The sequence below is a fragment of the Homo sapiens genome, chromosome 5 (assembly GCF_000001405.40).
Source record: "Homo sapiens chromosome 5, GRCh38.p14 Primary Assembly".
Taxonomy (NCBI): domain Eukaryota; kingdom Metazoa; phylum Chordata; class Mammalia; order Primates; family Hominidae; genus Homo; species Homo sapiens.
Window position 1 is genome coordinate 35,079,317 of NC_000005.10, and position 16,759 is coordinate 35,096,075.

The 16,759-nt window shown below is 43.2% G+C and overlaps 1 protein-coding gene across 13 annotated transcripts in view, besides 1 other annotated feature; it reads right to left on the bottom strand.

The window, feature by feature from the left end:
- PRLR (prolactin receptor) overlaps positions 1-16,759 on the bottom strand; it is a 181,732-nt gene that overhangs the window by 30,561 nt on the left and 134,412 nt on the right. For 10 of the 13 annotated variants that reach the window (NM_001204318.1, NM_001204317.1, NM_001204316.1 and 7 more), the window contains 3 exons: positions 10,235-10,347; positions 6,892-7,024; positions 5,154-5,323 (listed from right to left, as the gene is read on the bottom strand). In NM_001204318.1, coding sequence (NP_001191247.1) covers positions 5,154-5,323; positions 6,892-7,024; positions 10,235-10,304 — 373 coding nt within the window. In that variant the 5' untranslated portion in view covers positions 10,305-10,347. Of the gene's footprint in view, positions 1-5,153; positions 5,324-6,891; positions 7,025-10,234; positions 10,348-16,759 lie in introns of those variants that run through there. The other 3 variants (NR_037910.1, XM_047417391.1, NM_001204314.2) reach the window with 3 other exon arrangements.
- Positions 10,156-10,657: an enhancer, noted in NCBI's record as "NANOG hESC enhancer chr5:35089574-35090075 (GRCh37/hg19 assembly coordinates)". NCBI's record gives its function as "activates a minimal SCP1, AML or CMV promoter by ChIP-STARR-seq in naive H9 embryonic stem cells {active_cell/tissue: H9 hESC(naive)}" and the evidence as "EXISTENCE:reporter gene assay evidence [ECO:0000049][PMID:30033119]".

A 16,759-nucleotide genomic window follows, 5' to 3' on the forward strand; every position in this document is an offset into this window, starting at 1 on the left:
TCAGCCCAAAATCTCCTTAAGCTGATAAGCAACTTCAGCAAGTCTCTGGATACAAAATCAATGTGCAAAAGTCACAAGCATTCCTATACACCAATAACAGACAAACAGAGAGCCAAATCATGAGTGAACTCCCATTCACAATTGCTTCAAAGAGAATAAAATACCTAGGAACCCAACTTACAAGGGATGTGAAGGACCTCTTCAAGGAGAACTACAAACCATTGCTCAATGAAATAAAAGAGGATACACAGAAATGGAAGAACATTCCATGCTCATGGATAGGAAGAATCAGTATCATGAAAATGGCCATACTGCCCAAGGTAATTTACAGATTCAAGCTACCAATGACTTTCTTCACAGAATTGGAAAAAACTAAAGTTCATGTGGGACCAAAAAAGAGCCCGTATTGCCAAAACAATCTTAAGCCAAAAGAACAAAGCTGGAGGCGTCACACTACCTGACTTCAAACTATACTACAAGGCTACAGTAACCAAAACAGCATGGTACTGGTACCAAAACAGAGATACAGACCAATGGAACAGAACAGAGCCCTCAGAAATAATACCACACATCTATAACCATCTGATCTTTGACAAACCTGACAAAAACAAGAAATGGGGAAAGGATTCCCTATTTAATAAATGGTGCTGGGAAAACTGGCTAGCCATATGTAGAAAGCTGAAACTGGATACCTTCCTTACACCTTATACAAAAATTAATTCAAGATGGATTTAAGACTTAAATGTTAGACCTAAAACCATAAAAAAATCTAGAAGAAAACCTAGGCAATACCATTCAGGACATAGGCATGGGCAAGGACTTCATGACTAAAACACCAAAAGCAATGGCAACAAAAGCCAAAATTGACAAATGGGATCTAATTAAACTAAAGAGCTTCTGCACAGTAAAATAAACTACCATCAGAGTGAACAGGCAACCTACAGAATGGGAGAAAATTTTTACAATCTACCCATCTGACAAAGGGCTAATATTCAGAATCTACAAAGAACTTAAACACGTTTACAAGAAAAAAATCAAACAACCCCATCAAAAAGTTGGTGAAGGATATGAACAGACACTTCTCAAAAGAAGACATTTATGCAGCCAACAGACACGTGAAAAAATGCTCATCGTCACTGGCCATCAGAGAAATGCAAAATCAAAACCACAATGAGATATCATCTCACACCAGTTAGAATGGTGATCATTAAAAAGTCAGGAAACAACAGGTGCCGGAGAGGATGTGGAGAAATAGGAACACTTTTACACTGTTGGTGGGACTGTAAACTAGTTCAACCATTGTGGAAGTCAGTGTGGCGATTCCTCAAGGATCTAGAACTAGAAATACCGTTTGACCCAGCCATCCCATTACTGCGTATATACCCAAGGGATTATAAATAATGCTGCCATAAAGACACATGCACACATATGTTTATTGCGGCACTATTCACAATAGCAAGACTTGGAACCAACCCAAATGTCCATCAATGATGGACTGGATTAAGAAAATGTGGCACTTATACACCATGGAATACTATGCAGCCATAAAAATGGATGAGTTCATGTCTTCGTAGGGACATGGATGAAGCTGGAATCCATCATTCTCAGCAAAACTATCGCAAAGACAGAAAACCAAACACCGCATGTTCTCACTCACAGGTGGGAATTGAACAATGAGAACACTTGAACACAGGGTGGGTAACATCACACACAGGGGCCTGTCATGGGGTGGGGGGAGGGGGGAGGGATAGCATTAGGAGATATACCTAATGTAAATGATGAGTTAATGGTTGCAGCACACCAACATGGCACATGTATACATATGTAACAAACCTGCACGTTGTGCACATGTACCCTAGAACTTAAAGTATAATAATAAAAAAAATTTGCCATCAATTGCAAAAGGACTCATGTTCACAGTCTATGCCATCACTCCACCAAGACTGTTAATGGCCCCTCTGGGAAACTGTGGTGCAACAGCCGTGGGGCTTTCCAGAACATGATCTGTGCATCTGTTGGTGCTGCCAAGGCTGAGGGCAAGGTCATCTCTGAGCTGAATGGGAAGCTCAATGGCATGGCCTTCCATGTCCCCACCATCGTGTCAGTGGTGACCTGACCTGCCATCTGGATAAACCTGCCAAATATGACATCAAAAAGGTGGTGAAGCAGGCATCGGAGGGCCCCTTCATAGGCTGCAGGGTTATACGAGAGTTCCGTGGGCACTTCTTTTATGATTTTGAAAAATATGGTCCAACATAGTCTTTCACCAGAGAATTTGTTTTCCAGAATCAATGAGAATCTCATATACACTTGATTTCTCTTTTTAAACATACTACTTTTCTATAGTGATCCCCTTTTTTGTGGATCACATTTATTAAAACAGTTACTAATTTCAGAACATTTCTTGCTTTCATTGTTTTACCTTCAAATATTATAATGCTTGAGGGTAAGGCAATACACAAACACACACACACACACACACACACACACACACACACCCCTCCTGGGCTACACTAAGCACCAGGCTGTCTCCTCTGACTTTAACAGTGACACCCCCTCTTCTACTTTTGGGGCTGGCATCGCCCTCAACAACCACTTTGTCAAGCCCATTTCCTGGTATGACAGTGAATTAGGCTGCAGCAACAGGGTGGTGGACTCATGGTCCACATGGCCTCCATGTAGTAAGACCCCTGGACCACCACCCCCAGTGAGCACACAAGAGCAAGAGTGAGACCCTCAGCTGCTGGCGAGTCCCTGTGGCACTCAGTGCTCCACCTCAGTGAGAATCTCCCCTCACAATTTTTATGCAGACTCCCTGAAGAGCAGGTGCTTAGGGAGACCCACTTTGCCATGTGCCATCAATAAAGTCCCCTGTACTAAAAAAAGAAAATTGCCATCAAGTCTAAGCTAATATGTTACTGAGTAAATACCTAAGAAAGATTATTTTGAGCACATTTCCTAAACAAACAGCAGCTAATTAATATATGTTTTAAGTTAAATACATACTAAACAATGCTTCTGATAAAAAATTATACAAAAACGCAAATAAAATGTTGAGGATGTATCTTTTAGAGCATACTTTCCCAACCTCAGCACTACTTGCATTTTGGACTGGATATTTCTTTGTTGGAGGGGGATGTCCTATGCTTTGTAGAATGCTTAGCAGGATCTCTGGGCTTTATGCACCACATACAAGTAATACCCCCATCTCCCCACTTTCCTAGCTTGTGACAATCAAAAATGTCTCCAGTCATTGCCAAATATCCTGTGGGAAGAAAAAACAGCTCCCAGTTGAGAACCACTGCTTTTAAGTGTTTTCAATGTAACTAAATATTACTCAACAACAAAGAACTCTACTCCTGAGCAATTATCTTTCAATGTTGTCATTCTGTACTGCAGGTTATTGCTGGATGAGAGTCGAAGTGTCAGAAAATGTACCGTGCATTTTAAAATGAACTTCCGTGGCCTGTCCCAACACTGTAGGCTGCAGGGTTATAGGAGAGTTCTGTGGACACTTCTTTTATTATTTTGAAAAATATGGTCCAACATATTCTTTCACCAGAGAATTTGTTTTCCAGGATCAATGAGAATTTCATATACACTTGTTGATTTCTCTTTTTAAACATATTACTTTTCTTTAGTGAGTCCCTTTTTTTGTGGGTCGCATTTATTAAAACAGTTGCTAATTTCAGAACATTTCTTGCTTTCATTGTTTTGCCTTCAAATATTATAATGCTTGAGGGTAAGGCAATACACACACACACACACACACACACACACACACACCACACTTATATAAAATTTGTCATTCATCATGGAAGGACTCATGTCCACAGTCCATGCCAGCACTCCATAAAGAAGACTGTGAATGGCCCCTCAGCGCAACTGAGGTACAACAACCATGGGGCTCTCCAGAACATTGTCCCTGCTTCACCACCCTCTTGATGTCATCATATTTGGCAAGTTTTTCTAAAAAGCAGGTCAGGTCCATGACCGACACATCTGTGGTGGGGACATGGAAGGCCATGCCAGAGAGCTTCCCGTTCAGCTTGGAGATGACCTTCCTGCAACCTTGGCAGCACCAGTAGATGCAGAGGTGATAAATCTCTCTCTCTCTCTCTTCCTCTCTCTCTGTGTGTGTGTGTGTGTGTGTGTGTGTGCACAGACCATTGGTAGTTTTTAACATTTAAATTCTTTCTTTTCTTTTCTTTTTTTTTTTTTGATGTGGAGTCTCGCTCTGTGGCCCAGGCTGGAGTGCAGTGGCATGATCTTGGCTCACTGCAACCTCCACCTCCTGGGTTCAAGCAATTCTCTTGCCTCAGCCTCCTGAGTAGCTGGGATTACAGGCACGCACCACCACAGCCGGCTAATTTTTGTATTTTTAGTAGAGATGGGGTTTCACCATGTTGGTCAGGCTGGTCTTGAACTCTTGATCTTATGATCTGCCTGTCTTAGCCTCCCAAAGTACTGGCATTACAGGCGTGAGGCACCGCGCCCAGCCTACATTCTTTATTTTCTTGAACACCATGTTTGTCAAGAATTACATGGCACCACCTCATATTATCTTATGTTATAAAAGTAACATGATTACTTTGTAAATGTTTAGTAAAAAAAATTACCAATGATGTATATATATATATACACACACACTAATATATATATCGCATATATGCAACATATATATGTACACACACACATATATGAGTTTGGGGCAAAGCAATGGGAGCAATTGCTGTGGGTGCAGAATCAGATGAACCCTTCTAAGAACTTCTTCTTCATGGAGCAGCTCTGTCTTCCATGAGGAGAAATAAAAGAAATCCCAGCTTGCCAAGGAAGAAGCGGACATCAATTGCAAGGGCAGGGCAAGAAAGAAGAGTTGGCAAGGGAAACATACATAGAACATTTGTGCTGAGTGCAAGAGGATGAGGGTCAAGGGAAAGCACAGGAACACAAGGATCCCAAGTGCCAGCCTTAGTGTCATGAATGACTTGATAAAAAATGATTTGAACTGTTCTGTTGACAAGCATATCGTGAGTTTTCTCATCTTTCTTTTTGGGGATCCATCCAAAACCCAAGAAGACTCAAACTGAGTGTGACTATTGGCTAATACATAGTGGAGTAAGAAATTCCTCACCCACTTTCCTTCCCCTTACCTATGTAAGTCACGTCCACATAAAGTTCATCCGAGAAACTGCTTCCCATCTGGTTAGTGGCATTGACCATCATGATGTATGTCCTCCACATGGAGGTGTACTGCTTGCCAAAGTGGCAGGAGTTGGGGCCACCGGTTATGTAGTCTGGACATTCATGCATGAGTGTCTCTCTGCAATAAGTAATGTATTAGGAATGAATAAGAAAGTAATAAAGAGAGTCTAGTTTTTTTCTTCATAGATCAATACCACTGGCCTTTGGGTATCAGAAATTCCAAGCGCAAAACCCAGAGCTGACAAATGGTTCCTTAGGCTTCCATGTTCTGCCCATTTCAGCTGGGAGTGAGAGAGGGAAGAGCATGTTGGAAAGGTTATTTTAGGGCCTCAAGTATTCTTCTTCCATCAACCCTTCCTTTCTATAAGTGTTCTTGTGGGCTCGGGGACCTATATTCCCTGCTGATAAACACTCGAGCTTTCAATGGCCCAGGCACCACCATACCCAGGTCATGCCCATTGGGTTGCCTCAGGAAATTGGAACTTTCACCTGTCCACACACAGAGGGGTCATGCACAATGCAGCAGCTATTTCACATACGTGTTGAATTACTTTTCGTTTTTTAAAAAAGGGTTCAAGAGGACAAAAACTGATGTTGGTCCATTTCAGACTGCACCAAGTCAGCAATAAAGTGAAGTGACGTTGAGAGGAGGTATTTCAAGCCCACGTGGCTCAGTAGGCTGCTCACATTTAGACTCAGGAACCTCAGCTCAAGATACACTGCACAGGGGTGGAGGCTTGTTCAATTCTGGTTGCATCTGAGTTCCTGAAATCTGTTTACATGATGTCCCTTTGGATTTCAGCCGGGATGACAGTTTTGTGTACAACAAAGTGCAGTCATTGGAAAGTGGGCCAGCTGTCTCTACCAGCAACTAAATATTTTCCTTTCTGAAGAAGAATGCAGCTCTCCCATGATTTTCAGGAGGGTCTCACTGTCAGCGTAACAAAATGCTTGCACAGAGATGATCTGGTTTAGCCCTCATTTCAACCTTAGGTCCCAATATGTCTTCTAGGAGATGGTGGCTCTTGGATGAGCAATGTGCTAAGGAAAAAACCTCACCTTCTTTTCCCTACAAGGTTCTTTATTTTCTTGAACATGAAACAAGTTTGAAAACCTAATATACCACATTTGTCAAGGATTGTATGGTACCACTTCACACGATCCTACTTATTTTGCAAAAGTGACATGTTTAGTTAAAAAAAATACAAATGGCATAAGAATTATAGATGAGCATTTAAGATTAACTAGCAATTAAGAAACACTTCTATGGGGCCTCAGGCTGCAACCTAAGCTGTGAGAGGGGATTTGAAACATTACATCAATATTGGGTCCATTTAACCATTTGACCCTTCTGCTGGTGACAGAAACAGATTGATGGGACCCAAGCAAGTGATGAAGTCTCAGGGTGAGGAGACCTAGGGTGGATGCTCAGAAATGCCAAGCATCAGCATCCAGTAACACTGATATTGTACTGCTATGGCTGGTAACCTTATGTATATTGACACAGCTCTTAACAGACATTAACAGGAGAATGTGGGCATGGACCTTAGACTCCCCTTTCCCCGGTGGTATGAACCTTACTGGTGTAAATTCAGGGATGTGCTGTCACTCAGAACCAGTGTTTCTTTGGCCTGGAGAATGGGAGTACTCATGTGGGGTTTCATAGGAGAGAAGGGAACTTCTTACCCTTCCCTGTGGTAAGTCAGTGAATAATTGGTAGGAAGTCCTCCATCTGTCCCAGGCCTCCACCAGCAGGTGAATGTTTCCTTATTGGGAGAACGACATTTAAAGATCTCAGGTTTTCCAGGAGGTAACTGTCCTAGAAAAAGCCAGAAGCCACTGCATCAATATTGAGGTCCATTTAACCATTTGACCCTTCTGCTGGTGACAGAAACAGATTGATGGACCAAAGCCAGCGATGAAGTCTCAGGCTGAGGAGACCTAGGGTGGATGCTCAGGAATGCCAAGCATCAGCATCCAGCAACACTCCTCTGTGGGCTGCCCTGATGTTGGCATTGCTCTTAGAGAGCATTTTGCTGGTGTGTGTGTGTGTGTGTGTGTGTGTGTCTGTGTACTTTGAGATGGAGATAACAATAGCCTAGTGACCAACTGCAAAATTTCAACAAAGAATGAGCCTTGAATGCAAGATAGACACATATTGGTTGAAGAGTGTGTGGTGGCCCTTTTGTAATCCCACAAGGTCTGTAAAGCTGATACCCTCCCTCAGCCTAAGGGAACCATACAAAGAATCCTTCCCAGGTATGAGCAATCCGCAGACACTCTGGCAAAACACCGCTCTATGGCACTTCTCCACTCAGCTCACCAATCTCCATCTTTCTGCCATCCCCACACAATGAACTCAACTTGTTCCTGATCTTCTGTCCGTTCACTACATCGCTAAAGCTCCCTGTATCTGGGCATCCTTTCCTTCCTCTTTCCCCATCTTCTCCTTTCCTTCCCCTTTCCCTTCACTTTTTCTTGATTTTTTTTGGGATGGAGTCTCACTCTATCGCCCAGGCTGGAGTGCAGTGGTGCGATCTTGGCTCACTGCAACCTCCACCTCCTGGGTTCAAGCAATTCTGCCTCAGCCTCCTGAGCAGCTGGGATTACAGGTGCACACCACCACACCCGGCTAAGTTTTTGTATTTTTAGTAGAAATGGGGTTTCACCATGTTGGTCAGGCTGGTCTTGAACTCCTGACCTCGTGCTCTGCCCACCTTGGCCTCCCAAACTGCTGGGATTAAAGGCATGAGCTACTGCACCTGGCCACTTTTCCTTGATTTTATTCAGCTTTGATCTTGTGACCCAGACTCACAGTCTGTCTCCTCATCCACCCCATCCCCATTTCTGAATCTTGGTTTTTAGTCCTTTTTTTTCTCTTAGATTTTCCTCTCTTTCCTTTGTGTGTGTGTGTGTGTGTGTGTGTGTGTGTGTGTGGTGAGGTTGCAAAGGGCTTCCTTTGGATACGTAGGGCTTCAAGAGTGTGTGGCCCTTTTGTAATCCCATAGGGTCTATAAAACTATAATTTGATGGATCTTTTTGGGGTAGGAGGTGTGGTAAGAGGTAGGAGAGTAGCCAGCTCCTCTCCTGGTTCTGAGCAACCACTGTTATCTAAGAGCTGTACCCAGTTCCAGACTGGATGCTAGAAGGTCTCAGTGAGGTGGTGTGAAAATATAACACCAAGAGTGTAAAATTTTTTAGTTGCCAAATCCCCAAAGCTCTTGGCAAGCGGGCTCCCATTTCTCTTGCTTGGATGTCAGGTTCAAAGAGGGACAGCAGAGCCCTGGGAATTTGCCCTGATACTGTGGGGCTGGGAAGCCACCATGCTCGCCTACATGACTTCAGCTGATCCTCTTTTTTGTCTAGCTGGATGCCCTAGCATTGAGTTTAGGATATCAGGAGCAGAGAGGAGCGCTTTCAGATATGGGTCAGCACCTCCGGGGGTTCTCTCTGTTTTCTCCTCTACCCCTCATGCAGGCTCCAAGGCCAGAGTTTCTAGCTGAGCACCAGAGCAGAAACAGCAGGTTAGGAGGAGACCTCAGTGAGGAGAAATGCGTGGGAAGAGGATTCTCTAGGCAGAGCTGGCCAGAAAGAGGAATTTAGTGGAATGGCATGCTGTGGGACACAGGCTGGAGCCCAGGACACCAGGCTAGTAGTGTCAGCTGAAACTCACCTACCCTCCTGCTCACAGGCCCTGCTAAAACCCGTCCTTGCCAGCCCGGGTCAGCTCTGCCAATATTTGTAACATTGCTCATCCTCTAGGAACAATTTATTCAGGATAATGTGTTGCTGGGAGTTACAGCAAGAATGCAAGTTTTTGTTTTGCTTTGCTTTTGTCATGAGTGGGGAGAAGTGTGTGAAGTAGAAAGAAAAGTTTATTTAAAAAGTTTAAAGCCTATGGTTCCATAATGAGCACACTCGGAAGCCAATTAGGGTGATCATTGATTTCTTGAGTATTTAGTTTCTCTTGTGGGTCATTCTGACCTCTGCTTTCCCCTTTTTCTCTCTCTGAAAGCTTCTCTTTCTTATTTTACTGTTTATTAATAGTACCTTCAGGAAGCTCAAGAGAGGAGGGTAGATTTGTAAAATTACAATTAGACAAATGTTTCCTTCATCTGCATTAGAGGAACAAGTTAACATTAATGGACTTTCTCAATGCACAGAAACACGGAGAAAACCACACAGGAACCACATATACAGGTATGTAGATGCCCACACAGAGCCCGCATCAAAAGTACACACACCACACACACACACAAAAATATACACAGGTGCATACTCATGGAAGTACATACTTGTATGCACACAGGTACCTGCAGAGAAGTGTGCACATACGGATATACACAGAACACACACAGACATACATAAAAGTATATACATACAGGTTCAGACAGAGAGACATTTGAAATCAGGTCCATATAGAAAAGTTAATATATACACAGGTACATATAGAAGTCTGCACACCCAGAAATGCACATGGGTTGACATACAGAAGTGTATAGTCACAGGCACCCACCCTCTCATTTAGCTGTGGACTTCATTTCTCCTGTTAGCACAGATAATAGAGTCGGCTGTACCTGCTTCCCGCCATGTAACAGCAACCTCTTATATCCCATTATGGTTTTTTAAAGAGTTTTCATATACATTATTTCATCTGCAGTAGAGGAAACATCACTGTCCTCACTTTGAGAATTTGGAAACCCAGAGAGTTAGGTAATTGGCTCTAGGTCACACAGCTAGAAACTGGCAGGACCTGGATTAGAACTCAGGTCCTGTCTTCTTCAGAGCTGTTTCATTACACTCCTGAAATGAGGACAAAAGGCAGAGAGCACAGTGACAAGATTTTGCATTAATTGCATTAATTTTTCTGCATTAACTTTAATGCAAAATATTGCAAATAATTTAACAGCAGCACATAACACAGCATTTTCATTTTTCATAATGGCATTGCAAGAAGACTGCATGGACTCTCCACCCTGTTGACAAACACCCCAGGCAATGAAAGAGAGCGTGATAGCCTCTTACTTACCATTCAGAAGGCAGGTGTTGAGAAAAAGTAGCAGAGTGAAAACGGTTGCAGATGCCACATTTTCCTTCATGTTGGCTGCCTTCTCTTGCTGCAGGAAATGTATCAGAAGTTCACTGGAAGAGAAGGTAGCAGGTAACTTTTGTGAAATGGCAGTCTGGTCAGGCACATCCACCACTTTATTCTGGGTATTTGCAACTGATTGTTGCTCCTTGCTTAATGTGAATGACAAAATAGGAGGAAAGGAATGTAGGAAAATGTAACAGGGTTGGATGGCTTGGCACAGAAACATCAATTCACACACGCTGGGAAAATTTCCACCACCAGAGGTCCTCAGATGACAAGGTAGAGAGTTCAAGGGGCAGCAAGGCAGTCAGTTCCTTTGCACACACCCCAGAGAAAAATTGTTCTCTTTCCACCCCATAGCCACCTAACAATATATCATCCATCTTATGTAACATAGATTGTATGTCCTATGGGAGAATCCTACGAGGGCTCTTGCTCTGGTCCATCAGCCAAAAATTGTCCAGGCTGAAAAGTCAGTACCCTCAGTACAATCTCAACATAACCATGCTGATTCCACCAAATTAGGGAGGCTTTGAAGGTTCAAGCTGAGAAGGTTCTGGAAGTCTTCTGGGTTATATGCATTACCGCAAAGCGAACCACACAATGCACTCTAGTGAACCTCCACGTGGTTTCTTTCTCCTGTTTGGAAAGCCCCATAAACAAAAGGTAATAAATTCTGGTAATAATTTAAATTCCTTGGGTTCAGAGTATTAAGTAAATTCTGAACCTGCAGGGGTTGGGAGTTTGGAATAATTTATTATTAATACTAATATTATTACCCTTGGAACAACGTTCAAAGCCTCTAAATGGCCTTGTAAGAAAAAAGGATTTTTAAAGACATTTGGAAAAAAAGGCTCATTAGTCTTGTTGGACTTCAAACAACTGAGAAAACAATAGATTTAATGAACTAAGTGTAAATTCTTAGAAATGCACGGCCTAAATTTCTCTTTAAATTTTTATTGTTTCATTTTGTTGTTGTTGTTGTTGTTGTTGTTTTAATCAAGGGAAGAACATTCAGGATCAAAGCTGCCGATCTTGGGACATTTGAAACGTCTGAGTGTGTTTGATGAGCCCCTGAAAGACCAGCTTTTGCTACTGCTCCTTGTGGGACGTACTCAGACATGGAGAAACGATAGCAACAGTAGAGGTTTGGGCACCCAGGTACCATCAATTAGCTCTTTTTTTTTTTTTTTTTTTTTTTTTTTTTTTTTTTTTGAGACAGAGTCTCGCTCTTTCGCCCAGGCTGGAGTGCAGTGGCGCGATCTGGGCTCACTGCAAGCTCCGCTTACTGGATTCACGCCATTCTCCTGCCTCGGCCTCCCGAGTAGCTGGGACTACAGGAGCCCCCCACGATGCCCGGCTAATTTTTTTTGTATTTTTAGTAGAGACGGGGTTTCACCGTGTTAGCCAGGATGGTCTCGCTCTCCTGAACTCGTGATCCACCTGCCTCGGCCTCCCAAAGTGTTGGGATTACAGGCGTGAGCCACCGTGCCCGGCCAAGTAGCTCTTTCATAATGAGGCTCCAGCTTCAGTAAAGGATCCCGGTCCAGTGGTGGATCCTGTGAGGTGACCCGTATTTTGTTCTTTTGGGGACCTTCTACCTGCTCCTACAAGATTCCTTCCAAGCAAATGCCCTCCCAGGGTGCACTTTCTAAATCACCCACTGCATCTCACCCCTGAGGGTCATCTAATTAAAATCAAGTGGTTAAAGACTCCTACTGGGTTTAAAATAATGCCTAACACTTCTGGAGCATCTATTATGGGCAGGCACTGGGGAAAGTTAAGTACCTTAATCATGTAAATTTCATTTTGTCATCACAACAGCCCCGTGAGCAGCTACAGGTTTTAACAGATGAGCAAATGGAAGTACAGAGATTTAGTAGATTGTCAGTCAAATGCCCATGGGGGAAAGATACTTGGGAAACCTGAGAGCCACTGAGAGATCATCCTGACTTGTGGAAAGTCTGTGATGGGGGTGCAATTATTCCCCCTCTGTGGGAGAGACGGTGGAGACAACAGCCACTGACCCACAGTGAGCAACATCAAGCCTTGGGTGAGTGTGGCATTCTGAGTAGGGGCAGGAGAGCCAGAGCCGAGAGAGGCCTTCTCAGCTACTGCCCTACTTACGCCCAAGGACCTTAAATACTGTTGATCTCATGAATCCAGCCTCATTAGGTACATATAGCCCCAAATAGTTCTTTATCCTGCTGATCTGGTGATCTCAGCCTGGCTTAGAGATGAGAGTCTATCCACTGGCTGAAGACTTTCTATAATATCCCTTTATTGAGACTTCCTTTCTCTTTTGGGCGTTGCACTAACATGCTTAAGATCAACATGCTATAAATCAGACCTTCCTGGTGAGGTTGGGTGCTATCTAGAGAGCTTTGTCGAAGCAGGGCTCCATGCGTTTTGCAAAAGAAACTCTGGGATGGGAAGCAGAGTGGGTCAGGCAGCAGTAGATATTAGATATTGTCATCTGCTTACATGTTCTCATGTGCTAGTACAGGATCAAAGAAACTCTCCTAAATAAAGTTTTCCTATAATAATGTCTTCAGGAAGTATTCTATGAATGAAAAAAAGCTTCCCTTTGGGATTTCCTGAGACACATCCTGGAATCTAGTTACTATTATGCACTTTCTAATGCCTAAAACCCCCATGCCAGGGAATTAGACATACTCACAGTGGTGTCACGGTTGTGTTTCAACAGTGATTTTCCAACTCATCCTGCATTTTCTTCCCAGGAAGGCAAACATAATGGAGGTAATTTAACCTTTAGAGAAAGACAATCACAACTTCTCACCCCTAAAGGGGCTATGCTAAATGTTAATTAACTCTGAACACACAAGGAGATGCTTCTCAGCACTAGGCACATCTCTTGTTTATCCACCGACCTTTTTTTTTCTTTTTATGGCTGGCAGACACTAAGCTGGGGATAAATTAGGTTTTTGTCTCTCTGAGTCCACCCTGCATTGCACTCAAGATCTTGATCGAGGGCAGGCGTGGCCCTTCTTATTCTCTCCCAATTGGGACTGGAATATCCAATGAGGGGCCTCATCTTTTTAAGATGTTATAGCAGCAAATGGCTCCAAATATTTGCAGTTCAGTTAGCAAAAAGTCAGCCCCACACATCCTGGGGACTATCATCTTAGGCATCACTCCTCAGCAGCTCCTTGGTTTTGACTGAGGGTTAAAAATGCAAGTGGTGGATCTGAAGAGCAGGTTTATAGCAAGTTTGCAGCCCCCACACCTTGCCTGTGGCTAGCTGCCTTGGTTTCCTTGCTTCCCAATCTTCAAAGACTCTCTTACCCTTAAGCTCCTCCCCTTACCATATGCAAATATGCCTTCCCACCACACTGTGGCCCACCGTGGTATGAACGCCAAGAAAAGTCCCTTCTCCCTTGTGTTGCTTGGCATCAATGCTGATCCTGTTTAGGCCCTCTCTTTCCAAAAGCCTCTCTTCATTCTCCCTTCCATTAAGCCAAGTCTCTTCCACGTAGGCCAACAGTTGAGAAAAAGGTCCAGCAGCTTGTGCTTTTGAGAAACTAGAGCCAGTCTCCCTACATGGAAAATCGGGGCCACACTCCCATGGCCTGGGCTGACCATACTATCCACATTAGGAAGGGAATAACATAGGAGAGGAGGCAGTGTGGCCTCATGAGAGTTAAAAATAAACCAGATCTGAGCTCCCAACATACCACTCCCCACTGTCAACCCCTCATCCTCTGCAATACCCTCTCTTAGACTTCACCTTTATGTTCTGGCCTATGCAGTCCCCAAGCCAATCCTGCCTGCCAGCAATCTCAGCCCTACCATTCTGTGGAACTTGCTCCCAAGACTGGTATCTGGTGATCCCCCTGAGTACAGTCCCCAACCTGTCCTGCTGTATCTGTTGCTGCAACCTTCTACTCAGGTTTTTGACTCAGTTTTCCTAACTCCAGAAATGGACCTACCATTAGGGTCCAGAAATGGACCCTGCCATCCCTGTTAGGCAGGGATTCTGAGGTTCTTTTTAGCTCTTGCAAACTCAGTTCCTGGATAATCAAGCAAGGCCCAATCCAACATTTGAACTTTAGACTATCATACATATGACATGCACAAATTGTAAGTACAGTCATGTGCCACATAATGACATTTCAGTTAATGATGGACCATATATATGATGGTGGTCCCATAAGATTATAATGCTGTATGTTTACTGTTCTTTTTCTATGTTTAGATATATTTAGATACACAAACACTTACCATTCTGTAACAATTGCCTACAGTATTCAGTTCTGTGACAGCTGTATAGGTTTGTAGCCTGGGAGCAATAGGCTATGTCATCTAGCCTAGGTGTGTAGTAGGCTATACAATCTAGGTTTGTATAAGTATACTCTATGATGTTGGTACAACAATGAAATCTCTTGACACATTTCTCAGAACTTAGCCCTATCATGAAGCGACACTTATGACTGTATTCTGCTCAATGAAGTATCACAAAAAGAATATATCTATGTTACCACTCAGGTCAAGAGATTAACCACCAGTAGCACCCCAGAAATCCAACTTGCAACTCCTCCCAATCTCTACCTACTCCTTCCTGATAGAAACCATTCTTCCCACTTCTAACAGTACAGATTAATTTTACCTACCTTTGAACTTTATATAAATAGGATCATACAACATGCATTTCTTGAGTGTGTGTGTGTGTGGCTTCTTTCATTTCACATGGGTGTAGGATTCATCCTTGTTGTTACATGTAGTTTTACATAATTCATTTTCATTTCATCTCATTCATTTTCATTCATGTTATATTGAATGAAATACCATAACTCATTTATTCATTCTACTGTGTTGATGGACATTTGAGTTGTTTCCAGGTTTTGGCAAACTTTGGGTTTTGCTGAGATTGATCAAAACTCGAATGGCAGGGAAGCCCTGTGCATTTCATAATCACTCTGTGCTACCCGCCATATCTCCTGTTAACCTAAATTAAATTTCAAGTGCTTTTTTTGTCCTAAAAAGGCAAAAAGTCTCATTTCTTGCAAACAAATTTTGAATACATTCATCCGTTGTTTTCAGTATTAGGCATTGTGTTAAGGGCTTCCTTCGGGGTCCTTGGCCCACTGGGTTTCCTTACCTGCCTTGTTCTACCTGGGTTAGATGGCCTGAGGCTAACATAACAGGGAGAAAACCTCACATCAGGTACCATTTGATTTCCAGGAGTTGGGCTTTTTTTTTTTTTTTTTTTTTGAGACGGGGTCTTGTTCTGTTGCCCAGGCTGGAGTGCAGTGGCATGATCACCGCTCACTGCAGCCTGGACCTCCCTGGGTCAGGTGATTCTCCCACCTCAGCCTCCTGAGTAGTGGGGACTAGAGGCACGAGCCACCAACACCCAGCTAATTTTTGTATATTCTGCAGTGATGGGGTTTTGCCATGTTGCCCAGGCTGGTCTCAAACTCCTGAGCTCAGGAAATTTACCCGCCTTGGCCTCCCAAAGGTCTGTGATTACAGGCATGAGCCACTGCACATGGCAAGAAGTTGGAGTTTTCTTTCCAGTACAGAATGCCAACACTTAATCTGGAAAGTAAAGGACATAATGTGCTCAGGGCGGGAAGAGGAACAGCAGGGATTAGATATTACATACCAGGCTAAAGATTAAGACTGTTATACAAGCTCTGCCCAATGTCAACAGTCAATGATTGTGAATAAATGAAGCCCAAAAGGTGAAGAAAACAGAAAAAGATTCTAAGACATGGGACAAAACTCTGCATATAGGAAGACTGGTCCCACGCTGGTATTTCAAACACTAGACTTACAGCCAGCATAGTTTTCAGTATTTGACAGGGGAATCTAAAGAAGTTTTAAGGAGAACATGGCAGCCGCTCTTTCAGGAAGACATTGAAAACTGAGGATATAGTGCCAAGAGAACCCTGGCCTGCAGGTGGGGAGATGAAAGTTCCAGCTGTTCTTGCTCTGCCAATAATTAGCTTCACACAAACATGTGCCCACAATGAATGTTTATCTGCCCATAGTCCAGGCAGCATATCTATGCATTTGTCTGTGAAAGTTCACAAGAGGACACTTGCTCGTGTGGTCATTCATTATTATTTTTTTATCATCACCATTATCCAGTTTACATTTTGCTGTTTCTTGAGCAGGTTTCCATCTTGTACCCTGTTTTGAGGTACCCATTGGGGAAAACATCCAGAACTTTCCATAGTGAATTACTTTTATATAAAACGTTTATCACCTGGCAGTTTAGTCAGGTGAACGTAATTAGAAGTAGTTTAGAGGCTGCTGTAAAGTGTTCACCTCTGATTCCAGATATTCCCCTGCCCCTCTCCTAGAAATCCCAAAGGTTCCACTGAGGAAAGAACTTCCTGAAGACTCTGCACTCTGTGAAGATCATCAAGAGGAGCGCATGTGCTGTGCATGGTGATGGCTGCATTTGGTGAGAGGTAGATGATCAGCAGAGATAGG